The sequence below is a fragment of the Homo sapiens genome, chromosome 9 (assembly GCF_000001405.40).
Source record: "Homo sapiens chromosome 9, GRCh38.p14 Primary Assembly".
NCBI classification, from domain to species: domain Eukaryota; kingdom Metazoa; phylum Chordata; class Mammalia; order Primates; family Hominidae; genus Homo; species Homo sapiens.
In genome coordinates this window covers 94,483,167-94,510,969 of record NC_000009.12, presented here as the reverse complement: position 1 = coordinate 94,510,969, position 27,803 = coordinate 94,483,167, and the positions used below count along the sequence as shown (strand labels likewise).

General features: G+C 40.3%; 1 long non-coding RNA gene and 2 pseudogenes across 2 annotated transcripts in view, besides 2 other annotated features; 1 reads left to right on the top strand and 2 right to left on the bottom strand.

The window, feature by feature from the left end:
- The window catches only part of LOC107987100 (uncharacterized), a 37,965-nt gene extending 12,437 nt beyond the window's left edge, over positions 1-25,528 (top strand). For both annotated transcript variants that reach the window (XR_001746843.2, XR_001746844.2), the window contains exons 2-3: positions 23,150-23,318; positions 25,092-25,528. This is a non-coding gene — a long non-coding RNA (uncharacterized LOC107987100). The remainder of the gene's footprint in view (positions 1-23,149; positions 23,319-25,091) is intronic.
- Positions 1,386-14,698, bottom strand: LOC100421692 (leishmanolysin like peptidase pseudogene; annotated as a pseudogene).
- Positions 3,127-3,232, bottom strand: RNU6-669P (RNA, U6 small nuclear 669, pseudogene; annotated as a pseudogene).
- Positions 20,216-20,416: a silencer, noted in NCBI's record as "peak7297 fragment used in MPRA reporter construct". NCBI's record gives its function as "represses an SCP1 promoter by STARR-seq MPRAs in K562 erythroleukemia cells {active_cell/tissue: K562}" and the evidence as "EXISTENCE:reporter gene assay evidence [ECO:0000049][PMID:32103011]".
- Positions 22,723-22,892: an enhancer, noted in NCBI's record as "experimental_110230 CRE fragment used in MPRA reporter constructs". NCBI's record gives its function as "activates a minimal promoter by MPRAs in K562 erythroleukemia cells, with activity observed for both the introgressed and non-introgressed 9:97250445 variant alleles {active_cell/tissue: K562}" and the evidence as "EXISTENCE:reporter gene assay evidence [ECO:0000049][PMID:34662402]".
- Positions 25,529-27,803: the final 2,275 nt, after the last annotated feature.

The following is a 27,803-nucleotide window of genomic DNA, read 5'->3' as shown; positions in this document are numbered from 1 at the left end:
CTCATGTGAAATTAGTAAATAAGGGAATGGCATCAATATAACATGGAATCACGTTGGTTCATTGATTTTTCCCTGCATGTTACTATTTTGTGATGAAGCCTAAACACAAACTATACTAGGATAGCCAAACACAGCAATACAAGAATGCTGTACTGTGTATAGTGTGTGCTTACTCCATCTGCTTTCTGTTTGCTCCGTGTACCCAGTGGCTCTGCCTGGAAGTGTTTACTGTATGGTTCTCACAAGTCTACGTACATTTTACCCTTGTCCCCATTACTCAGATTTACAATTCCCCATACAGCTACCATGAGTTATTGTTACTGCTGATGTTGAAGGTAAAGAAATACTAGAGCAGCCAGGTGAAGTGGTACATGCCTGTAACCCCAGCACTTTGGGAGGCTGAGGCAGGTGGAATGCTTGAGCCCATGAGTTTGAGGTCAGCCTGGGTAACATGGTGAAACTCATCTCTACTAAAAGTACAAAAAGAAAATTAGCTGGGCGCGGTGGCACATGCCTGTAGTGTCACCTACTCAGGAGGCTGAGGTGAGAGAGTCACCTGAGCCCAGGAGGTCGAGGCTGCAGTGAACCGAAATCACGCCACTTGCACTGTAGCCTGGGCAACTGGAGTGAGACCTGGCCTTAAAAAAGAAAAGAAACGGAGAGGGAGAGAAGAGAAGAGAAGGAAAAGAAAAAAAGAAAAGGAAAGGAAAAGAAAAGAAAAGAAAAAAGTACTACAGTAGGCTGGGTGCACTGGTGTGTACCCGTGGTTCCAGCTGCTTGGGAGGCTGAGGCAGGAAGACTGCTTGAGCCCAAGAGTTTGATGCTATAGTTTGCTATGATCATGCCTGTGAATAGCTGCAGCCCTCCAGCCTGGACAACACAGTGAGGCCCTGTCTCTAAAAAATAAAAAAAATTAATAAAAGAAATACTAGATTAGATACAGGACTTCATTTATTGGAAATCTGATGTATTTTTAAACTGAGCTCATAGTTCTACATGACTTACTTGTTTCTGTTAGTGATCTGTTTACTTGTTTTTCCCACAAGTCTTGTTATTTTTAGTGTCCAATTTTGAAGAAAAAGGTTTTTAGGAAAGCATACATTGCATTATAGCAGAAGCACCTATAGTGCCTTGGAAAAAGTGAAAAAAGTTGCATAAATATGTGAACCCATTAAAAAATAAACAATTCTGCAAGTGTTTGCACATACATACATATATAACACTTATGAAAAGCATATACCAAAACTTAAAGAGTGATTACATCTGGACAGTGGATCTCAAGAGCTGAAGGGGTAAAGGGACAAAACATTTGTAACCTGTTTGAATAACGTTTGCCATAATTATGAATTATTTTATTAAATAAAGTCTAAAATTTAAAAACTGAACTCTAATAACCTTTTTTCCCAATGGTTGAGCTCAGTGCACTTACCACCTTGATTTTCAAGTTCCATTCCCTCCAGAACTGGACAATTAAAATGTTTTCGTGCTTCCTGCTAAGAACCAGAAGAAAAATCGGAAGAAAATATGGTACAAAAGTACCATAAGATAATGGCAAACTTTTCATCACATGAATATAAGTTAACATTAAAAAATTACTTTCTTGAAAAAAGAATTTCTTTTTAAAATATGGTTTTTAATATAATTAAATATTTTGATGCAGTCACACTTCTCTTTGCTAAGAAATTACTTCTCTTAGTATCTTTTCCTCTCTCTGAAGATTTTCACTTTTGTACCACATAGCTAAAAAATGTTATAGACTAGTATGATTGACAGCTGTAACTCATGTTAGTAACAATTTTACAATTTTTTATTTTTTATTTTATTTTAAATTGACAATTTATAATTGCATATATTTATAGAGTAGAGTGATGTTCTGATTTATGAACAATATGAAGTAATTACATCAAGCTAATCCATCATTTCAAATACTTATTTTTTGTGAGAAGCACATTTTAAATTTACTTTCAGTTTAAAAATGTGCAATACACTATTATTGTATTTTTAGTAGAGACAGGGTTTCACTGTGTTAGCCAGGATGGTCTCGATCTCCTGACCTTGTGATCCGCCCGCCTTGGCCTTCCAAAGTGCTGGGATTAGAGGCGTGAGCCACTGCGCCCGGCCGCAATTCACTATTATTAACCACATTCACCATACTGTGCAATGACCTCAAAAAAAAGAACAAAAATGTATTACTTCTGTTTGTGATTTTGTGCCCTTTGGCCATCATCTTACTATTTTCCCCAACCCCCAGCCTCGAACCACTACCCTCTGCTTCTGAGTTCAATAGTTTTAGATGTCACATGTAAGTGAAAACATTAGGTATTTGTCTCCTTGTTCCTTTTTTAGCATCATGTTCTCCAGTTTCATCCATGTTGTCACAAATGACAAATTTTCCAGCCTTTTTAAGGCTGAATAGCATTCCACCGTGATAAGTGGTGCCAACTTCCTATGCAGTTCAATATCTGTGTATAGCTGTTGATTTCCCCATAACTTAGCTATTCATAGCCTACTGTTGACAAGAAGCCTTACCAATAACATAGTCAATTAACACATATATTGTATATTTTATGTATTATGTACTGTATTCTTACAATAAAGCTAGAGAAAATGTTACAAAAAATATCATAAGGAAAATATACTCACTATTCATTAAGTGGAAGTGGGTCACCATAAAGGTCTTCATCCTTGTCTTCACATTGAAGAGGAAGACTAGGAGTTGGTCTTGCTGGCTAAGGGGTGGCAGAAGTGGTAGAAGTCCACAAATAAGTGGACCTGTGCAGTTCCGACTTATGTTGTTCTACGGTCAATTGTATATAACCCGTTTTCTTTACCCATTCATCTGCTGATGGACTGTTAGGCTGATTCCGTAATGTGGCTATTGTAAATAGTGCTGCAATGAACACAGGAGTGCAAACATCTCTTTGACAAACTGGTTTCAAATCTTTTGTGTAAATATGGAACAAGGATTGTTGGATCATATGGTAATTCTATTTTTAGTTTTCAAAGAACTTCCATACAGTTTTCCACAATGGCTGTATTACTTTATACTACCACCAACATTGTACAAGGATTCTCTTTTCTCCACATCCTCACCAACACTTGTTACCTTTTGTTTCTTTTCTTTTTAACATACGGAATGCTTCATGAATTTGCATGTCATCCTTGCACTGGGGCCATGTTAATCTTCTCTGTATCATTCCAATTTTAGTATTTGTGCTGTCAAAGCGAGCACTCTTGTCTTTTTGATAATAGTCATCTGACAGACATAAAATGACATCTCATTGTGGTTTGAATTTGCATTTCCCTAAGGATTAGTAATGTTGAGTATTTTTTCGTGTACCTGTTCATAATTTGCATGTCTTCTTTTAAGAAATGTCTATTTAGGTCCCTGGCCCATTTTTTAAATGGGCTATTTGTACACAGTTGTTTGCATTCCTTATATATTTTGGATATTTTTTCTGATGTTTGGCTTGCAAATATTTTTTCCCAATTTGTAGACTGTCTCTTCACACTTTTGTTCCCTTTGCCGTGCAGCAGCTTTTTTGTTTCATGTAATCCCATTTGTCCGTTTTTATTTTTGTTGCCTGTGCTTTTAGGGTCCAATTCAAAAACTCATTGCCCAAACCAATGTCATGTAGTTGTCCCCTTATGTTTTCTTCTAGTAGTTTTACAGTTCCTTGTCTTATGTTTAAATATTTAATACATTTGGAGTTGGTTTTTGTATATGATGTGAGATAAAGGTCAAATTTCATTCTTCTGCTAAGGATACCCAGTTTTCCCAACACCATTTATTGAAGAGACTTTTTCCCATTGTATATTCTCAGCACCTTTATTAAAAATCAATTAACTATAATTGATTAATCATAATCAAGTTAATCATAATTTATTCTGTTCCATTCATCAATGTGCCTACTTTTATGACAGGAACATGAAATTTTAATTATTATTCCTTTGCAGTATAGTTTGAAATACTACAAAGCTAGAGGCATCACACTGCCTCAATAGCTTTGTTCTTTTTGCTCACGATTGCTTTGGCTATTCAGGTTTTTTGGTTTTTTTTTTTTTTTCCAATCTTTCATTTTTTTTTTTTTTATACTTTAAGTTCTAGGGTACATGTGCACAATGTGCAGGTTTGTTACATATGTATACATGTGCCGTGTTGGTGTGCTGCACCCATTAACTTGTCATTTACATTAGGTATATCTCCTAATGCTTTCCCTCCCCCCACCCCACAACAGGCCCTGGTGTGTGATGTTCCCCTTCCTGCGTCCAAGTGTTCTCATTGTTCAAGTCCCACCTATAAGTGAGAACATGCGGTGTTTGGTTTTTTTGTACTTGCAATAGTTTGCCGAGAATGGTAGTTTCCACCTCCATCCATGTCCCTACAAAGGACATGAACTCATCCTTTTTTATGGCTGCATAGTATTCCATAGTGTATATGTGCCACATTTTCTTAATCCAGTCTATCATTGATGGACATTTTGGTTGGTTCCAAGTGTTTGCTATTGTGAATAGTGCCGCAATAAACATATGTGTGCATGTGCCTTTATAGCAGCATGATTTATAATCCTTTGGGTATACACCCAGTAATGGGATGGCTGAGTCAAATGGTATTTCTAGTTCTAGATCCTTGAGGAATCGCCACACTGTCTTCCACAATGTGGAACATTTGGAAGTTGTTCAATCACAAACAATGGTTGAACTAGTTTACAGTCCCACCAACAGTGTAAAAGTGTTCCTATTTCTCCACATCCTCTCCAGCACCTGTTGTTTCCTGACTTTTTAATGATCACCATTCTAACTGATGTGAGATGGTATCTCATTGTGGTTTTGATTTGCATTTCTCTGATGGCCAGTGATGATGAGCATTTTTTCCTGTGGCTATTCAGGGTTTTGTGTGTGTGTGGTTCTATATGAATGAGGATTTTTTACCTACTTCTATGAGAAATGACACTGGAATTTTGACAGGGATCTCACTGAATCCGTAAACTGTTTTGGGTAGTATGGACATTTTAACAATATTAATTATTCTACTCCATGAACATAGGATTCCCTTTTATTTATTATGTCTTCTTCAGTTTCTTTCATGTAGTTTTCAGTGTATAGGTCTTTTACTTCCCTGGGTAAATTTATTCCTAAGAATTACTTTTCTTGGTAGCTATTGTAAATGAGATTGTTTTCTTGATTTCTTTTTCAGGTAGTTTTCTGTTAGTATATAGAAAATTACTGATTTTTGTGTGTTGATTTTGTATCCTGCAACTTTATTTATTAATCCTCACAATTTTTTTATGGAGTCTCTAGGATTTTCTATATATAAGACCATGTCATCAGCAAACAGCAACTATTTCACTTCTTCCTGTCCTATTTGAATGCCTTTTATTTCTATGGTCAGACTGCTCTAGCAAGGACTTCCAATATTATGTAGAAGTGGTAAGAGTGTTCTTACCACTATGTTCTTCAATACTCTGTAGAATGTAGAAGTGGTAAGAGATCTTGGAGGAAAGGCTTTCAATTTTTCACTAATAAGTATAAGGTTTGTTTTGGGTGTCTCTTATATGGTCTTTATTGTGCTGAGGTACTTTCTTTTTGCACCTAATTTGGTTAGTTTTTTTTTTTTTTTTTTGAGATGGAGTCTCACTCTGTTGCCCAGGCTGGAGTGCAGTGGCCCAATCTTGGCTCACTACAAGCTCCACCTCCCGGGTTCACGCCATACTCCTGCCTCAGCCTCGTGAGTGGCTGGGACTACAGGAGCCTGCCACAACGCCCGGCTAATTTTTTTGTATTTTTTAGTAGAGACAGGGTTTCTCCGTGCTAGCCAGGATGGTCTCGATCTCCTGAACTCATGATCCGCCCGCCTCGGCCTCCCAAAGTGCTGGGATTACAGGCGTGAGCCACCACGCCCGGCCTAATTTGGTTAGTTTTTAACCATAAAAAGATGTTGAATTTTGCTAAATGATTTTTCTGCATCTACTGAGACAATCATATGGTTTTTGTTTTTTATTCTGTCAGCGAGATGTATCACATTTATTGATTTGCTATGTTCAGCCATCCTTGCATCCTGTGGATAAATCTCACTTGATCATGATGGATGACCTATTTAACGTGTTGTAGAATTCAGCTTGTTAGTATTTTGTCAGAAAATTTTTGTACTTAATGCTCATCAAGGACATTAGCCTGTAATTTTCTTTTCTTGCAATAGCTTTGTCTACATTTGTTATTAGACTAATACCACCCTGGTAAAAAGAGTCTAGAAGTAATCCCTCCTCTTCAGTTTTTTGGAAAAGTTTGAGAGGGATTGGTATTCATTCTTTGTTAAACGTTTGGTGAAATTCAGGAGTGAAACTGGTTCTGGGCTTCTCTTTGATGGTCGACTTTTATTACTGATTCAATCTCATTACTCATTATTGGTCTGTTCAGATTTTTCATTTCTTCATGACTCAGTCTTCAGAGGTTGTATTTGTCTAGGAATTTGTTCATTTCTTGTGGGTTATCCAATTCGTTGGTATATAATTGTTTATAATAGTCTCTTATGATCCTTTGTGTTTCTGTCATATCAGTTGTAATGTCTCCTCTTTCATTTCTTATGTTATCTGCATCTCTCTAACTAAAGGTTTGTCAGTTTTATCTGTTCAAAAAATCTACTCTGGCCAGGTACGCTGGCTCACACCTGTAATCCCAGCACTTTAGGAGGCCGAGGCAGGCAGATCACTTGAAGTCACCAGTGCCTCCTCTGTTGTGATACCTCTTAGGATCAGTGGTATTATTTCTATAATGAGTGATCATTTTATTTGGTATCTGTATTAGTCAAGGTTCTCCAGAGAAACAGAACCAACAGGATGTGTGTATATATCTATATAAATGTGGAGAAAGATACGAGAGAGGAGGGGAGGAAGAGGTTTCCTTTTTTTTTGAGACAGGGTCTCACCCTGGCCAACATGATGAAACCCCTGTCTCTACTAAAAATACAAAAATTAGCTGGGCATGGTGGCGGGTGCCTGTAATTCCAGCTACTCAGGAGGCTGAAGCAGGAGAACCACTTGAACCCAGGAGGCGGAGGTTGCAGTGAGCCGAGCTTGTGCTATTGCACTGCAGCCGGGGTGACAAGAGGGAAATTCTGTCTCAAAAAAAAAAAAAAAAAAAGTTGCTCAGTATGATAAAACCTTGCTCATTGGGTTCTGTCTGTCCTTTAGTTAGAGGTTTCCAGAGATAGGAAGTAGCCCAAGAGCAATGCAAAACTTTAGAAGTCAGACAGCTGTACATAGGCAAGGAAAAGGGGGAGGGAGAATAGCCGTGGTGCCCAGATATTTGGCCCAGATATTCTGGATGTTTCTGTGAAGGTATTTTCTTGAATGAGAGTAACATTGAAATCAGTGGACTCTGAAGTAAAGATCACCTTCCATAATGTGGGTGGGCCTTGTCCAATCAGTAGAAGGCCTTAAGAGAACAAAGATTGATCTCCCCTGAACAAGAAGTCATTCTGCCTTTGGACTCAAACTGCAACTCTCCCCTGAGTCTCCAGCCTGCTGGACTACCCCATCAGATTTGAACTCGCCAAGCTTCCACAGTCATGTGAGCCAAATCCTTAAAAGTTATCTCTTGGACAGGTGTTGTGGCTCACACCTGTAATCCCAGCACTTTGGGAGGCTGAAGCAGGAGGACTGCTTGAGCCCAGGAGATCGAGACCAGCCTGGGCACATAGTGAGACCTCATCACTTCAAAAAATAAACAGAATTGGCTGGGCCTGGTGGTGGTGCGTGCCTGTAGTCTCAGCCACTCAGGAGGCTGAAGTGGGAGAATCACTTGGGCCCAGGAGGCAGAGGTTGCACCAAGCCGAAACCACACCAATACACTCCAGCCTGGGTGACAGAGTGAGACCCTGTCTCAAAAAAAAAAAAAAAAGAAAAAAGAAAAAAAAGAAAGAAATCTCTTCCTCCCCTCCTCTCTCATATTCTTTCTCTGTGTGTACATATATATAGAAATATACACACATCCTGTTGGTTCTGATTCTCTGGAGAACCCTAACTAATACAGACACCAAATAAAATGTTAAGTCATTACAGAAATAGTACCACTGATCCTAAGAGGCATCACAACAGAGGCGGCACTGGCCTAAAGCACTGGGTAGGATGGGAGCCGTGAGACTCATTGCCAAGTTTCCATTTCCTCAGATTTCTCATGGCCCATAGCTTTATTACACTGCCTTTATATTACTTTTCCTACTATAGACTCTAAAATATTACAAGTTCTTAAATAATAATGATGAGTAAAGAAAGGACCACAATAAAGGAAAAGAACAGATGGCTCATGAGACATGAAGTTCAGTAATACTTACAACAAGAAGCGTTACCAGGAGATAAACAATAATACACAGTGTTATTGTCTCGAACATCCCATAATCTCTCCACTGTTCGAACTACTTTATCACTCCATTGATATAATCCAAGACTGCAATTATAGAATTAAAACAATTATTGTTGCAAATTCACAACTATAAATGTAAAAATATTTATATTTACTGTAAAAAGTCTTTATAAATATCAATATGAAATTAAAATATTTGGGAACATCCTATGTACCAAGTCCAAACAAAGTACTTGATAAGTATTTTCCTTTCTACATTTTGTAAAATTTAATTTTTTGGTTGGGTGCAGTGGCTCACACCTGTAATCCCAGCACCTCAGGAGGCCAAGATGGAAAGACTGCTTGAGCCCAGGAGTTTGATACCAGCCTAGGTAACACAAGAAGTCCTTGTCTCTACAAAAAATTTGAAAACTAGCTGGGCATAGTTGTACAGCCCTGTGGTTCCAGCTACACAGGAGGCTGAGCCAGGAGGATCACCTGAGCCCAGAAGGTTGAGGCTGCAGTGAGCCATGTTGATGCCACTGCACTCCAGACTGGGTGACAGAGCAAGACCCTGTCTCAAAAACAACACAAAATAAAATAAAATAATATAACATAAAATTAGCCAGCATGGTAGTGTGTGCCTGTAGTCCCAGCTACTCATGAGGCTGAGGCAAGAAGATCACTTGAGCCCAGGAGTTCAAGGCTGCAGTGAGCTATGTTCAAACAGCCACACTCCAGCCTGGGTGACAGAATGAAATCCAGTCCAAAAAATTTTTTTTAAATTTATTTTTTATTTTTTGCTGAGACAAGGTCTGCTATGTTGCCAAAGCTGGTCTCAAATTGCTGGCCTCAAGCCATCTTTCTGCCTCTGTCTTTCAAAGCTCTGGGATTACAGGTGTGAGCCACTGTGCCTAGCCTTGGTAAGTATTTTCAAATTTCATCTTTTCAACAACCCTATGAGATTATCGTCACTATTTTGCAGATAAAGAGACAAAAGTTCAGGGAGATGAAGTAACTTGTTCAAGTTCACATAGCTAGCACTTGGCTAAGATGACAATGAATTACTTCCTTTCGACAAATGCATTGGATAAAATGAAAACAAGTTCACAAACATATCCAAGTATGTAAGGAAACATAACCAACAAAATGCCATATTAATTTAGTGGGAAAGTAGAATTTATCTAATTACTGTGAAACTGATTATCCATTTAGAAAAAAAAAAGGTTAAATCCCTATTTCACCACATACAAAAATTCCAGAAGGATATAAGCAAAAATGACAGAGTAAAAATCTCTCAAAATTCTCTCCTATCAAAGCAACGAGAAAGCTACCCAAATTGGTGAAATCAACTTTTTAAACTTTGGAAATTAATCAAAGATTTACAGCAATGCAGAAAGCATTTATTCATGAAAAATGGATGAATCTCAGCAGAAACAGGAACTTTGTGGTGCTTTTCCATGCCCTCTCTCCAGCTTTCAGGCAGCCTTGCAAACCGACAGCCCACAATCATGGTGAAAACCAGTAGCCTGACAGCCACTGTAGCAGGCAGAACAGGGTTAATTGGAAAACTGAATTTAAAAACATGATCTAACTATGCATCTACAAGAGACATAGTTTAGACTAAAGAACACAAATAGGTGGAAAGTAAAAGGATAAAAAGATATACTATGTAGGCCAGGTGCAGTGGCTCACACCTGTAATCCCAGCACTTTGGCAGGCAGAGGTGGGCAGATCACCTGAGGTCAGGAGAATGAGACCAGTCTGGCCAACATGGTGAAACCTCGTCTCTACTAAAAATACAAAAATTAGCCAGGCGTGGTGGCACATGCCTGTAATTCCAGCTACTTGGGAAGCTGAGGCAGGAGAATCACCTTAACCTGGGAAGTGGAGGTTGCAGTGAGCTGAGACTGCACCACTACACTCCAGCCTAGGCAACAGAGACTCCATCTCAAAAAATAATAATAAAATAAAAATAAAAATAAAAAATTAGACGAGCATAGTGGCACACTTTTGTAGTCCCAGCTACTCAGGAGGCTGAGGTAGGAGGATTACCTGAGCCTGGGAAGCTCAACACTGCAGTGAGCCATGATTATGCCACTGCACTGTAACCTGGGCAACAGAGTGAGATCCTGTCCCCCCCAAAAAAAGTGTAAATCCAGCATAAAGATATAACAATTATAAACATATATGCACCCTACAAAAGAATCCCAAAATACATAAATCAAAAAAGTTTCAAATGGATCGAACCTACAAATGTTGAGAAGCCGAATAATAATTTATTAGAATAAATGTAAGAGAATATTTTTATAATCTTTTGAGGCCTTAAGCAACAAAGAAAAAAACATCTGGGTACAGTGGCACATGACCATAGTCCCAGCTGCTTGAAAGACTGAGGCAGGAAGCTTGCCTGAGCCCAGGAGTTCAAGACCAGCCTGGGCAATATAGTGAGACTCCATCTCAAAAAAAAAAAAAAAAAAAAAAAAGATAGATGAATTTAGTGATAAAAAACTTAAGAATTTTTCTATACGTGGCAAAAGCATGATAAATGAAGTAAAACGATAAACAACTAGGAGAAATATTTATAATAAACATGAAAAGGGGTATTATCTCTAACTTATAAAGAACTCCTACAATGTGATTAGAAAGGGAAAATTAACCTAAAAGACAGGACAAGGAAAATAAATAGGCAGTGTACAAAGAGAAAATGCAAATGGCTAAAACCTCACTATAGTCCTGGAAATACAACAATGAGATACCATCTTTCATCCATCAAATTGGGCTTAAAAAATAAAAAAGATCTATAATATCCAATACTGATAAACTGGTAACGAGCATTCATACACGCCTGGTAGGAATCTGCTTTGCTATACCTTTTTTTAAAAAAAATGTAGTATGGCAGTTTCTATTAAAATTTATAGTGTAAACAGATTTTAAATCAGCAATCCCAGTTTGGGAAATCTATCCTGCATAAATAAAAGCACTACTACAAAAGTAACATATTTATCTATTACAGAAAATTATGATGGATATCAATTTTTATTTTTCCCTGTAACCTAAATCATTTTTTTCTGGCTTATTCCCTAGACTGCTTCTGCCATTTTCCCTATAAATCTCTCATTCTCAGCAAAAGAACAGAAAACATAAAGAGAGTTTTCTTCTCCAATATTGTTTTATAAAAATCTCAAACATACAAAACATTAAAAGAATTGTTTAATAAACACTCTTACAATCAGTAACCAGCTCACCTAGATTCTGTAATTAACATTTTGTTATATTTGTTATCACGTATCTGTTCATCTACCCATGCCTTAAAGAGGTTGTTTTTAATTCCTTTATCTGTTTCCATGGCAAGGCAATGTTTAAACATAAATAGTGAACAAAGCCAGCCGGAAAATAAAGTTTTTACCTTATTAATCACTCCAGTCTCTCTTTACCATTCATACTTCAGATTGTTTCCCCAAATACACAGCTTAAAGCCAAATCCAATTCTTTTATCTGTAACAACTGAATTTATTACTCTATTTAATCTTCACTTTTACTGAAAGGTTTCTCTTTTTTTTCTCTTGAGACAGTCTTGCTCTGTCACCCAGGCTAAACTGCAGGTGCGTGATCACAGCTCACTGCATTCTCAACCTCCTGAGCTCAACTGATCCTTTGACCTCAGCACCCTGAATAGCTGGGACTACAGGCACATGCAACCATGCTCGGCTAATTTTTCTATTTTTTTTTTTTTGTAGAAATAGGGTTTTGCCACATTGCTGGGCTGGTCTTGAACTCACGGGCTCAAGCCATCAGCCCACCTCAGCCTCTCAAAGTGCTAGGATTACAGGCACGAGCCATTGTGCCTGGCCAGAAGGTTTGATGCTTTTGAGGAATATGCTCAATGCAAGAAAGCACTGCAAATTATCAGCTTAAGAATGGTTCTTGTGTATGGGTATCTCTCTCCTCCTTACTTACATCGTTATGTAAATATTGCCTATCTCACAAGTTATGTTTTCATAAAATGGCCTCTTATACCCTATTTTGTTTTATTATCTACAATTTCGATGGGTTTGCCATAAAGACGTTATTATTTATGGCATCTAATATGCTATGATTCTCAGATTCTAGTCTTGGCACCCTTCTAATAGAGGAGAACAAGAACAGAAATGAAAAATACCTATAATTGGCCAGGCGCGGTGGCTCATGCCTGTAATCCCAGCACTTTGGGAGGCCGAGGCGGGCGGATCACGAGGTCAGAAGATCGAGACCATCCTGGCTAACACGGTGAAACCCTGTCTACTAAAAATACAAAAAATAAGCCAGGCATGGTGGTGGGCACCTGTGGTCCCAGCTACTCGGGAGGCTGAGGCAGGGGAATGGCGTGAACTTGGGAGGCGGAGCTTGCAGTGAGCCAAGATCACGCCACTGCACTCCATCCAGCCTGGGCAACAGAGCGAGACTCCGTCTCAAAAAAAAAAAAAAAAAAAAAAAAACCTAAAATTAAAAAGTGGGAGGCCATCTGCAAATCTTGAAGTGAGAGGATTTCCATCTTCATCATGGCAAAATGCAAACAGCCCAGCAGAGAAACCCTGTAAGAAAAAGTTCAAAATGTCTTAATGTGAAAAATATCAACGCTGATTACAGGCCTGTGATCAAAAGAGAGCACTGATACCAACTGGGACATAAAAGCACCACGCCAATGCTTCTATAGGAACTTCTCACACATTGGAATCGAACAATTAAGTGTTCCATATTTATAAATTTTAAATTCTAATTACTTGAGGTAAATATTTCTAATGAGAAATTTTCTAAAATACAGTATTTTCAATTTATATACAGTATAAATACTATAAACATCTATTACTGTGCTATAATTATATTTCCAGGCACCATTAAGAGTTTTAAAACCATGAAGCGCACCAGCTGTTGTGTTTTTAATTCCTGTCTTCTGTGTGTGTGTGTGTGTGTGTGTGTGTGTGTGTTTGTGTACTTTATGAAATGGTTCTGAAAGTCTGTCTGCGTTTTAAAGTTATTTTGGCCTTCTTATATATATAGCAGAATCCTCCCAAAGTGCTGGGATTACAGGGGAGAGCCACCACTCCCGGCCTTTCTTCCTTTTTTGAGAATGTTTCAGGTATCACTTCTGAACAAGAGCTGTAAAGATAAAAGCAGCACACTGAGATGCATGGCCAAGACTGACATTTGCTTACAATAGATAAACTTAATTCAAAATGTCTGTGAAGACAAGCATTTGTATGTGCTCAAATATACATGTAAAAAATTATTTAGCTGATCATTTCCTTTCCTTTAATTTGAGAAAGTGGTAAGTCATCACTACTTTCTCCCTATAAGGATTTTCACATGGTTATCAGAAGCGGCAACAGAAGGGCCGGGCACAGTGGCTCATGCCTGTAATCCTAGCACTTCGGGAGGCTGAGGTGGAGGATCACTTGAGCCCAGGAGTTCAAGAACAGTCTGGGCAACATGGCAAGACCCCATCTGTACTAAAAATACAAAAATTAGTGGGGTGTGGTGGTGCGTGCCTGTGGTCCCAGCTACTCTGGAGGCTGAGGTGGGAGGATTGCTTGAGCCCAAAAGGTTGCAGCAGCAGGGAGCTGGACTCAGTGGCTCACCCCTCTAATCTCAACACTTTGGGAGGATCACTTGAGTCCAGGAGTTTGAGACCAGCCTGGGCAACACAGCGAGACCATGTCTCTACCACACACACAAAAAAAAAAAAAAAAAAAAAAAAAAAAAAATTAGCCGAGTGTAGTGGCACATGTCTGCAGTCCCGGCTACTTGGGAGGCTCAGGTGGGATCACTGGAGCCCAGGAGGTTGAGGCTGCAGTAAGCCATGGTAATGCCTTAAAAAACAAACAAACAGCAGCAGCAGCGCAGGCTCTGCCATATCTACATACTTTCATAGGCCTTTCAGTATCATTAATTCTTAAATCTTAGAATTTTAAGGGAGGAAAAAGCTTTATAAATCTTCTTGTTTGATACAAGGTCTGCCTTTATCACCAGGCTGGAGTGCAGCAGCACAATCTTAGCTCATTGCAGCCTTGACTCAAGCCATGCTCCCACCTCAGCCTCCCAGCAGCTGGGACCACAGGTGCACACCACCATGCGCCACTAATTTGTGTATTTTTATTGAACATGAATCTAGGAATCCATATCATCTTAAAATGGAATATATGTATAAAAACGAGAACCTAATAAGCAGAAAATCAAGGCATGAAGGAAAGAAAGTAATGGTAGAATTTATCAGGGCATGAATAATCTGTTTCACTGTGGACAGCATCCCAGTAAACTCCTGAGGCTGGGTAGAGATCATATTTGGACACAGGTTAGCATATCCTGCTACTGGCCTGTCAAAATAGACATTGAATTTTTAAATTATATTCCAGAACAATATTTATTACAATATTTATTAACATATACTTCTCCATCAAACATTGCTCAAGGACAGAAAAATCTTTGCAAAATGTCAAATGTAATTTTGTATCATCACTATCTTTTACTTTCAGACATGTATCCTCTGCTTTCCTATGGCATGGCAAATCAACACGTTTCCACAAAAGGACACAGTTGATTATACTTTAATGTGAATTTTTGAAATATATCAATATAATACCCAAAAAAGAATGAACTGAAAGGCTCAAATTCTAACAGTATTTTACTTGCAAAATCCGTATTTGACTTCAGCATTTTAGTATATCTACGGTCACAGAGACAAGCAGGTGAGCCCCCATGTCCAGCCCTCTGCTGCTGCAACCTCCTGGGCTCAAGCGATCCTCCCACCTCAGCCTCCAGAGTAGTTATAAAATGGGGCAAAAAGTGAATGGTTCAGGTTACTGAAAGTTGCTGACCCTTCTTATCTCTGTTTGCTATTCCCTTTCTCCTGCTCCAACACTGCCTACATTCACATAAATATTTCTACCTTCCCATCATCTTCTTCCAAATTCTACACCCTTTAGAATCTACACACTTCTGCATCTCACTTCTACATCTCTCTCTCTGCCTAGAACCTGAGAGTCCAAGGGCAGACTAGGACTCAAGAGTCTAAAGTAATTAAGTTCCACCATGTGCCTACCTGTCTTTCAAAAGCTGTGGCAAATGAACAACGCTGAGGAACCCCAAGCTTGGTTTTCCTACCACTATCTTAACATTTCACATAGCAACACCACAAAGCTCATCGAAGTATAATTGCCTATTTACAAAGTACATTTATCTTATTTAAATTTTTTAAATACTGTATATTTTCTTCATAGGTAACACCAACAGACTTAGAAAATGTATGAGTACAATTCATTTATTTAAAAATTGCCACAGTGACCTCTAAAATATAAAATGGATTTCACATCCAGGCTTAAGACCTTTCATGGGGTTCCTACAGCACTTAGAATAAAACAATCCTATCTGCCTCTCCAAGCCCTTTCCTCCAACACAGTGTCCACTGAAGTGGCTCCTGACATTAACAGGTACACATGGCTTTTGCCTTGCATAAGCTCTTCCCACATCTCTTTATTTGGCTAAAACCTATCAATGACCAGCTTGCAGCTAAAATTCTACTGTTTCAAAGAGGTCTTCCTTGCTCAATTGATCTACAAGACGTTTCCTCCTTTATTCTCCTCTATGTTACAGCATTCTATTTATTTTCTACAAAGTATTTATCACACTTTGAAATCACATATTTATTTGCAGGAATATTTAGTACCTGTCTCCCTCTGTAATCCGTAAGTTCCATGAGGCAGTTACACATGTATGTTTTGTTTGCCTAGTCTGTTGGCCACTCAGATATTCATGAAATTAAGGCAATATAGCAATTCTGAAGGAAGGTTTCATTTCCTTGAAAAAGAATAACGTAAGGCCAGGCACAGTGGCTCATGCCTGTCATCCCAGCACTTTGGGAGGCCAACACAGGCAGATCAGCAGAGGTCAGGAGTTTGAGCCCAACATGGTGAAATCTTGTATATACTAAAAATACAAAAATTAGCCAGGTGTGGTAGTGCACACCTGTAATCCCAGCTATTGGGGAGGCTGAGGCAGGAGAACTGCTTGAACCTGGGTGGTCAAGGCTGCAGTGAACCAAGGTTGCGCCATTGCACTCCAGCCTGGGCGACAGAGTGAGACATCATCTCAAAAACAAACAAACAAACTGAAGATAACTCCTTTTTCTTCTAACAAATCTAGGAGAAGTTAGTGTAACTAATTCATGTGCATGAAAGGAACTTTGCTGAGATGTTAAACATCCATCAGTCAAAAGACTAGCTGAGACTGGGCATGGTGGCTCACGCCTGTAATGCTAGTATTCTGGGAGGCCGATGCAGGCAGATCACCTGAGGTCAGGAGTTTGAGACCAGCCTGGCCAATATAGTGAAACCCCTGTCTCTATCAAAAATACAAAACTTAGCTGGGTGTGGTGGCGCACGCCATTGTCCCAGCTACTTGGGAAGCTGAGGCAGAAGAATCACTTGAACCCGGGAGGCAGAGGTTGCAGTGAGCTGAGATCACACCACTGTACTCCAGCCTAGGCAACAGAGCAAGAGTCTGTCTCAAAAAAAAAAAAAAAAAAGACTAACTCTCTTCAAAGTCAGCTAATCTCAAATCTAATCTCACCTAGATTTGAGAATGTTACATACAATCTATTCTGAGACATATGACAATTTCTACTTCCTTTAATTGGTTTGTCCGGTGTGTGACAGGCAATCTTATGCATATATAACTTTTCATTTCAAGACTGGGCTGTTTCATGGGAAAATTTTTTGAAATCTTTGGTAAACAGAACTCTGAATTTCTAAGTGATATTTAGCTAAGTGAATCACATGTAACAAATGATATGACAATTAAGATGAATAGTCATTAACATCTTTCTTAAGTTTTAGCACAGAAGTGCTAAAACTAAAGTTCAAATGGTTTCCTTAGAGCAGTAGTCACCTGGAAAGAAAATTCTCTTGACAGTAGACTTATTTAATTTTTTTTGGACACAGGGTCTGACTGGTGTAACCACTTTGAAAAACAACGTGGCAGTTTCTCAAAGGCTAAATGTATAGTTATCACATAATGTAACAATTTCACTCCTGGGTGTAAATCCAAGAGAAATAAAAATATATGTTCACACTAAAACTTGCATGTGAGTGGTTATAGCAGCGTGACTTGTGACAGCCAATATGCAAGAAACAACACAAGTGTCCATTGACTGATGAATGGATAAACATAAACTATTGCTCAGCTATAAAAGGAAAGAAATCCTGATACAAACTATAACGTGAAAGAAATTTGAAAACACTGTGCTAAGAGAAAAAAAAGCAAACTACAAAAGATCATATATTGTACAATTTCTATTTCTATAAAAAATCCAGATTAGGCAAAACTACAATGACAGAAAATCAGTGGCTGCCTATAAAGACACAGGAACATGGGGGAAGTAGAAGGTAGTGACTAAGAGGTGAGGGTTTCTCACTCATAAGTGGGTACCTCATAAGTGGGTAATCACTTCTAAAAGTGACTGTGGTGATGGATGCACAGCTCTGTGAATATTCTAAAAACCACTGAATTGCATACTTTCTTTCTTTTCGTTATTTATTTAGAGACAGGGTCACCTTATGTCACCCATGCTGTGGTGCAGTGGTACCATCTGGTCTCACTGCAACCTATCTAGGCCTTCTGGGCTCAAGAGATCTTCCAGCCTCATGTCCCCACGTAGCTGGGACTACAGGCATAAGCCACCACACCCAGCTAATTTTTGTATTTTATCTAGACATGCTGTTTTGCCATGTTGCCCAGGCTGGTCTCAAACTTGTGAACTCAAGCGATCCACTTGCCTCAGCTTCCCAAAGTCTTAGAATTATAGGAATTAGCCACTGCGCCCGGCCTGAATCGCATAATTTGATAAATGAATTGTATGATATGTTAATCATATTTCAATAAAATTGTTATTAAAAAAAGAAAATAGGGAGTTGAACACAGGTGGCTCACGCCTGCATATATATAATCCCAGCACTTTGGGAAGCTGAGGCAGAAAGATCACTTGAGGCAGGGAGTTTGACACCATCCTGGGCAACATAGCAAGATCCCGTCTCTACAGTAAAACATAAAGAAGTTAGCTGGGTGTACTGGCAAACGTCTGTAGTCCCAGCTACTTGGGAGGTTGAGGTGGGAGGATTGTTTGAGCCCAGGGGTTTCAGGCTGCAGTGAGCCATGATCACGCCACCGCACTGCAGCCTGGGTGACAGAGCAAGACCCTGTCTCTAGGAAGAAAAAAAAAAAAAAGAAATGCAAGTATTTATCACCTTCTGAGAGTAACTGAGTTTCAGGAGGAACAGAGAAGAACAAAAGACCATCAAGTGGTTGAGGGTGGGTTGCTGGTTAGGTTCAGTCGCTAGCTGAGTAGTATCTGAAAAATTCATTAGTAAAATTATGGCTCTAGGGGTGAGTCATGCAGTCGAATGATGAATACTAAATCCAGTACAAACGCCCATGGTCTTTCTTTACATGAATTCCAGTGAAAAATTCCTAAGTGCCTAAATAGCAAGTGGTCTGAAATGATACCAGCAGTTTATTAAAGACAAAAAAAAAAAAAAGTCATCTTCAAGAACCACGAGAGAGTTCTATGCTGAAGAAGCTCTAATTTTGCACTTGCTCAACTATTGACGTGATCTGGCCAATACGACACTAATCTTAAAGTGTGCAAACAACTCAATTTCATCTCCTCATTAATAAAAACTGATTAGTCTAATATCAATTCTGGTTTTTAAAAAGCTAATTAGAAAAAGAATTAATTAATTATGGAACCAATAAGATGTTCAAATAGTTACAAGCTATTCAAAGGAGAATTCAAAAAATCACACATATGAGCTCATCAAGTGTGATGAAATAAATTTTGTTAATATATTTAAAAATAAACTGATTGGACAAGCAACAACACCTGGGCACGGGTCTCCTCATCTCCAGCAACACAAACCCAATCGCACAGCTATGGGGTTGCAAAGGCTGCATAGTCAAAAAGGGACTGGTATGACTTGAGATTTCTTTACTTGTATTTGTATTTTGAGATAGGGACTCACTCTGTCACTCTGGCTGGAATGCGGTGGTGCTCTCATAGCTAACTGCTGCCTTGACCTCCTAGGCTCAGGGGATCCCTCCTGCCTCAGCCTCCCCATAGCTAGGACTACTGGTGAGCACCACAACACCCAGCTTTTTTTTTTTTTTTTTTTTTAATTGTAGAGAGAAGCCTTGCTATGTTGCCCAAGCTGGCCTCAAAATCACACCCTCAAGAGATCTGCTCACCTCGACAACCTGATAAATTGGTTCTACAGACACAAATCACCATGCCTGGATAATTATATTTTTATTATTATTATTTTTGTAGAGAGGAGGTCTTGCTATGTTGCCCAGGGTGGTCTCAAATTCCTGGACTCAAACAATTCTCCCATCTCTGCCTCCCAAAGTGCTAGCACTACAGGCATATGCCACTGCACCTGGCCTGACTTGAGATTTCTTTAATCTAGCATCCCATACTTCATATAATTGGGAAAGGCAGTAGTGTTTTTTTTTAATTACTTAGTATTTCAACAAGAATCAACCATCTCTCACCATTGCCAGGACCCTCGTCAGAAGCACTATCATCTCCTACCTGGATGCTGCCACAGCTTGGCCTCCCTGCTTCTACCCAAATCTTCTCACAGTCTTTCTCAACTCAGCCGCCATGGGATGCTTTTAAATCAGGAGACAGATCATGTCGCCTCTCTGCTCAGAACATTCTTGCAGTTCCCATCTCAGTCAGAGTAAAAGCCAAAGCCCCAGCAATAGCCTCCCAGGGCTTATACAATCTGTACTGATCTGAGCCCAACAACTCCCTGGCATCCTACCCTACTTCTCTCCCTCTCTGTGCTCCACGGGCCTCTTTCCTGAGCTTCAGACACACCATGGAGTTCCCTCCTAGCATCTTTATTCTATTGTTTCTGCCTACAGTGCTCTTCCCTCAGCACCTTGGCCAGCTCCTTCCCCTCCTTCAAGTCTTTGCTCAATTTTCACTTAGGAGGCCAATCCTGACCACTCTATTTAATATTGCCATCTGTCCCCATTCCTGCCATGCTCACTCATTTCTTTCTTTTTTTTTTTTTTAGACAAAATCTCACTGTGTCACTCAGGCTGGGGTGCCATGGCATGATCACAACACACTGAGACCTCAAACTCCTAGGTCAAGCAATCGTCTTGCCTCAGTTCCTCTAGTAGCTAAGACTACAGGTGCATGCCACCACACCTGCTATTTTTTTTCTTTTTGTATAGACAGGGTATCACTATGTTGTCCAGGCTTGTCTTGAACTCCTGAGCCAAAGCCATCCTCCTGCCTCGGCCTCCTAAATAGCTGGAATTATGGGTGTGGGCCACCACCCGTGGCTTCATGTCCATTTCTTCTCGGTGCTGTTACAAACTAGCCTACATTGAGTGGCTTAATACACCAGGAATCTACTACCTAATAGGTCTGGGGGCCAGAAGTCCAAAATAGGTCCATTAAGGCTAAAGTCAAGGTGTCAGCAGGACTGCATTCCTTCTGGAGGCTCCAGAGAGGATACATTCCCTTGCTTGTTTCAGCTTCTATTGCCACCCCCATTCCTTGGCTCATGGCCCCTAACTGCATCTTCAAAGCCAAAAGCAAAGCATATTCGAATTTCCCTCTCTGACCTCTGCTTCTATCATCGCATCTCCTCCAATTCTGACTCTCTTACCTCCCTCTTTCTCTTATAAAGACCCTTGTGATTGCTGGACACAGTGGCTGTGGCTCACACCCGTAATCACAACAGTTTAGGAGGTCAAAGTGGGAAAAACGCTTGAGGTCAGGAGTTCGAGACCAGCCTGGGAAACATAGTGATAACCCCCAAATCAACAACAACAACAACAACAAAAAGAAATAAGAAAAAATTAGCTGGGCATGGCGGTATGCATCTGTGGTTTCAGCTACTTGAGAGGCTGAAGTGAAAGGATTGCTTTAGCCCAGGAGTTTGAGACCAGCTTTGACAACATAACAAGATCCCATCTCTACAAAAAAAAAAAAAAAAAAAAAAAATAGAAAAATTAGCCAGGCGTGGATGGTGTGCACCTGTACTCCCAGATACTTTGAAGGCTGAGGTGGGAGAATTGCTTGAGCCCAGGTGGTTGAGGCTGCAGTTAGCTATAACTGCATCATTTGCACTCTAGTTTGGGTAAAAGAGAGAGACTCTGTGTCTGAAAGAAAAAGAAAAGAAAAACACATATGGTTTCTGCCCCTGGTCCTGACACAGAGCTTCTAAAGTTCTTATAAAGTCCTCGTTGATAAAGGTGATAGGGGCATCTTTTGTTTCAATATTTGGTGTTAGTCCCAGGTTTCTAACACAAGAGCCTCTAAGACCTTTGGGATCTCCACCATAGTACGAATGCATTTGGTGATGTTACTGGATGACTGGGTGACTGAAAGCTCCTAGACAGCTTCAGGAGGAGGGCTGGTTGCCAGAGGCTTGGAACTGTGAGTCTCACCCACTGAGCTCCAGAAGAAATGGTGGCCGAAGATTGACTTAATCACCAATGGTCAATGATTTCAACAATCATGCCTGCATAACGAAGCCTTCATCAACACCCTCAACAACAGGGTTTGGAGAATGCCTGGGTTGTTGAACACAAGGGGCATATGAGGAGGGTAACATGCACAACAGAGAGCATGGAAGTTCTGTGCCCTTCCCCCCACATACCTTGCTCTGTGCATTTTTTTTTTTTTTTTTTTTTTTTTTTTTTTTGAGACAGGGTCTGGCTCTGTCTCCCAGGCTAGAGTGCTGTGGCACAATCGTGGCTCACTGCCACCTATGCCTCCCTAGCTCAAGCCATCCTCTCAGCCTTCTGAGTAGCTAGAACTACACGCACATGTCACTGCACCTGGCTAACGTTTAGAAAAATTTTTTTGCAGAGATGGGATTTCACCACGTTACCCAGGCTGGTCTTAATCTCCTGAGCTTAAGTGATGCTCCCGCCTCAGTCTCCCAAACTGCTGAGATTACAGGCATGAGCCACTGTGCCCAACATGTACATCTCTTTCACTGGCTGTTTCTAACATATATCCTTTACAGTGAACCAGTAATAGAACGTAAATTGGTGAGACACAGTGGCTCATGCCCATAATCCTAGCACTTTGGGAGGTTGAGGTGGGAGAATTATGTGAGCCCAGAAATTTGAGACCAGCCTGGGCAACATAACAAGACCCCATCTCTACAAAAAATAAAAGAACATAGCCAGATGTGGTGGAGCAGGCCTGTAGTCTCAGCTATTTGGGAGGGTGAGGCGGGAGGATCACTTAAGCCCAGGAGCTCGAGGCTACAGTGAGCTTTGATCACACCACTGCATTGCAGCCTGGCAACAGAGTGAGACCCTGTATCTGAGAATAAAAGAAAATAACTTGTTTTTTGAGTTCCGCAAGCTGTCCTAGCAAATGATTCCACCCACGAAGGGGGTTATGAGACCCTGTTTCCTAACTGGTTTGTCAAAAGTACATGTTAACAACCCAGGACTTGCAATTGGCATGTGGAGTGAGGGTAGACTCCTGGGACTGAGCCCCCATCCTGCGGGGTCTGCACTAACTCCGGGGAGTGTCAGGATGGAATTGTGGGATACCCAGTTGGTATCCAGATTGTCCGAAAATCGGTGTAGAAACTCCACATGCACATTTGGTTAGAGGTGTTTGACCATAACTACTATTCAAGAAAAAGATCTACTCATTAGAAATAAAAATCATAAAATTATACATTCTACAAAAACAAATCAACCTTATCTACCTCCCAATCCTACCAAACTACAGAATGTTAGAACAGAAGGTCTGACCATGGACTCAAGAGCTGACGTTAGGAATGTCAGCACCATCCTGCTCTCCAAGGACTCCTCATCTTCAACAGACTCCTCATCTTCAAAGGAAAGGGTGGAAACTGCAACTTGTGCCATGATCCCTGCGTGAGAAAAGTAGTAAGAAAGTGAGTGATAGAAATCCAGTGTCCTAAATTCACATCCAGAACTGTGAGAGTTTTTCACTAGCTGGCTAATTCACAGGTTTCTTGCATCAGAGGAAAAATACGACTCAGAAACTAGGAATTCCATTTGCCCAAAACTCTCATCAGATTAGAGAATCCATCCGCTAACTTTCTTATCTAGTATTATTTCCATGAGTTAGATCAATATCATTCCCAAAATAAATGCACATGGCACCCAGAATCTGTGCATTTCTCCCAAGTAAAAGAGGAGGCGGCCAGGAACGGTGGCTCATGCCTATAATCCCAGCACTTCAGAAGGCCAAAGTGGGCGGATCACCTGAGGTCAGGAGTTCAAGACCAGCCTGGCCAACATGGCGATACCCCATCTCTACTAAAAATAAAAAATTAGCCAGGTGTGGTGGCACATGCCTGTAGCCCCAGCTACTTGGGAGGCTGAGGCAGGAGAATCGCTTGAACCCGGGGGGGCTGAGGTTGCAGTGAGCTGAGATCGCACCACTACACTCCAGCCTGGGCAACAGAGTGAGACTCGGTCTCAAAAAAACAAAAACAAAAAAGAGGAGACAAGGCGCTGTACAACCCAGTGCCCAGTGATGGGCTACCACAAGTCAACACAGGAAAGAGGTGCCAAGCTCCCTTTCTCCCCTGCACAACCCGACACAAAAAAGAGTTGGTGCAGTGGAATGAGACTGGATGGAGAGAAGTTCTTCTTTTTTGTTTTTTTGAGACCAAATCTCACTCTGTCACACAGGCTGGGGTGCAGTGTCTTTGTCTTGGCTCACTGCGACCTCTGCCTCCCGGGTTCAACCAGTTCCCTGCCTCAGGCTTCCAAGTAGCTGGGATTAGAGGTGCCTGCCACTGCACCCGGCTAATTTTTTTTTATTATTATTTTTAGTAGAGACTGGGTTTCACTATGTTGGACAGGCTGGTCTTGAACTCCTGACCTTGTGATCCACCTGCCTCGGCCTCCCAAAATGCTGTGATTACAAGCATGAGCCGCCGCGCCCAGCCAGGAAGTTCCTCTTCTTACTGAGAAAATAGATCACAGGGCATCAAGTAACATGTAAAAGTCTTTATAATAAGGAATATGATTTTTGGAAAAACTTTCCTAATATTTTGGTATTAGCAAAAACCCTCAGATTAATTTCAAACAGTATAAAAATACAGTATATAAACAAAATATTAACTGTCAGTAATGCTATAGAGAAATTGGAGGCTTTTTGGAATGTAAAATGGTACAGCCCACTGTGGGAAATGGTTTGGCAGCTCCTTAAAAATACTAAGCATAGAATTATTTGATCCACCAACACCCTTTAAGCGTATATACCCAAAAGAACTGAGAGCAGGGACTCAAACAGGTATTTGTACACCCGTTTAACAGCAGCATTATTCACAGTGGCCAACAGGTAGAACCAACCCTAATGCCCATCAGGGTTGATAAAGAATGGATGAATGGATGATGGATGAATGGTGAATGAAGAAAATGTAATATATACATATACAGAGTATTATTCAGCCATACAAAGAAAAATATTTGGCCAGGTTCAATGGCTTACACCTGTAATCCCAGCACTTTTCGAGGCTAAGGCGGGCAGGTCGCTGGAGCCCAGAATTTTGAGACCAGGCTGGATAACATGGCACATTTGGTTAGAAGTGTTTGATCATAACTACTATTCAAGAAAAAGATATACTCATTAGAAATAAAAATCATAAAATTATATGTTCTACAAAAACAAATCAATTTTATCTACCGCCCAGTCCTACCCGACCATAGAATGTTAGAACAGAAGGTCTCACCGTGGACTCAAGAGCTGACATGAAGAATGTCACCACCATCCTGCTCTCCAAGGACTCCTCATCTTCAATGGACTCCTCATCTTCAACGGACTCCTCATCTACAACGGGCAGGGTGGAAACTGCAACTTGTGCCATGATCCCTGCGCAAGAAAAGTAGTAAGAAATTGAGTGGTAGAAATCCAGTGTCCTAAACTCACATCCAGAGCTGTGAGAGTTTTTCACAGGCTGGCTAATTCAGAGTTTTCTTGCATCAGAGGAAAAGTAAGACTCGGAAACTTGGTATTCGATTTGCCCAAAACTCTCATTAGATAGAGAATCCATCCGCTAACTTTCTATCTAGTATTATTTCCATAAAGTTAGATCAATATCACTCCCAAAATAAATCCACGTGGCAACCAGAATCAGTGCATTTCTCCCAAGTACAAGAGGAGGTGGCCGAGCGTGGTGGTTCACGCCTGTAATCCCAGCACTTTTGGAGGCCGAGGAGGGTGCATCAGGAGGTCAGGAGATGGAGCCCATCCAGGCCAATATGGTGAAACCCCGGTGTCTACTAAAAATACAAAAAATAGCTGGGTGTGGTGGCGTGTGTCCCAGCTACTTGGGAGGCTGAGGTAGGAGAATTGCTTGAACCAGGGAGTCGGAGGTTGCACTGAGCCAAGATCGTGCCACTGCACTCCAGCCTGGTGACAGAGCAAAACTCCATCTCAAAAAAAAAAAAAAAAACCCAACAAATACAATAAAATATAAAATGTCTTTTTCTCTTAACCTTCTGCTGGAAAAACAAAACAAAACAAAACAAAAAAAACCTTCTGCTGGTACTTCAATTTCTGCTGGTACTGTTCCGTCATTGCCCTCTAAAGAATGATGGCTTCCTAAAAATAAAATAACCTATAATAAACCAATAAAAACTCACATTGAAAGAGAATCTAGGTAACGATGCAAACACTTTTAAGACATAGTAGGCCGGGCGTGGTGGCTCTTGCCTGTAAACCCAGCAGTTTGGGAGGCTGAGATGGGCCTATCACCAAGGTCAAGAGTTTGAGACTAGCCCGTGCCAACATGGTGAAACCTCATCTCTACTAAAATACAAAAAATTAGCCAGGCGTGGTGGCGGGCACCTGTAATCCCAGCAATTTGGGAGGCTGAAGTAGGAGAATCACTTGAACTTGAATCTATAAAGCAATAGATTAGTTAGGGAGTCACAAGGTAAACAGGCTCATCCTACTGGAGCAGAAGTTTTATTCACAAATACAAAAGAAATCTAAAATATCAGAGTGCCAGTCAGGATTAAGACCACGAGCTGCCCCCAGTATACATCCTCTGTCCTTAAAGATCTGAGCTACTAACAAGGAAAAGATTGAAAAACAGTGTCTTCAAGTATAAATAAAAATATATTACATTTCAGTAAGAATACATTGTTTAGGGGGAAGGGAAGCAGATGCTCATCTATTTTGTCCTATCTATTGATAACTAAATTCAGAAGCTGTACTAAAAGTAAAAGTTATAAATACATCTTCTCTTAATTTATTTTTTTTTGAGATGGAGTCTCGCTCTGTTGCCCAGTCTGGAGTGCAGTGGTGCAATCTCGGCTCACTGCAAGCTCCTCCTTCCAGGTTCACGCCATTCTCCTGCCTCAGCTTCCCGAGTAGCTGGGACTACAGGCGCCCGCCACCACGCCCAGCTAATTTTTTGTATTTTTAGTAGAGATGGGATTTCACCGTGGTCTCAATCTCCTGACTTCATGATCCACCCACCTCAGCCTCCCAAAGTGCTGGGATTACAGGCGTGAGCCACCGTGCCCGGCCCCATCTTCTCTTAATTTTTAAAGAGCAATGATTACAGTCAGAAAAACTCATTTGATGGCTAGTATTCTTGAATTAAAAGTACGATGCCAAAGTGAAATCTTTTTGGTTTTCAACATCGAGCTTTTTCATGTCACAATTATCTTGGGATTCTTTTCCACTTACTGCATATTGTGAAAACTCACCTGAACTCAAAACTCTAGGTAAATCTAAAAACCTTTATCTAGGAATCCATCTTTAATTCATTTGTAAAACATACTTTCTCTGCACACATTTCCTTTCTCTTCTTTTAACCTTAATATTTGGATTTAGGGAGCATTAAGTTCTTTGACTGTAAAGTGAAGAAAAAGATACGAGATCAAAGGAATGGGAGATAATAAAGAAGAGGCCACTAGTTAAAATGTAAAATTTCAATAAAGAGTAAGTTAAGACAGTTGTTCATGTTATTACCAAGGGTTTCAAACACCAAGGGTTTCATCCAGGTCCTGCTGCTCATTGGAGAAAAAGCCAATCACTGAGGCGACAAGCACTGCCAAGGAAGAAAGCTTTAACCTGGTGCTGCAGCCCAGGAGCTGGGAACTCAGTCTCAAATCCATGGCTTGACTAATAGGGGCAGGAAAGAAATGTAACAATGTATAAGAGAACAGAAATTAGGGAGGAGCAGGAGGCATATGGTGCTGTGATTTGTTATGTTTGTTATTTGATACTTCCTGAAGGTCTTTTTTTAAGGAGAGAACTCAGAACAGATACAAGTTTCAACCTTTAACAGCAGGGTCAATTTTTATGTTGATCCAAAAAAAAACCCATCCATGGGACAGTTGGGCCAGTGTCAATGTAAACAATGATTCTATAGGTCCTTTTTCTTCTTTTA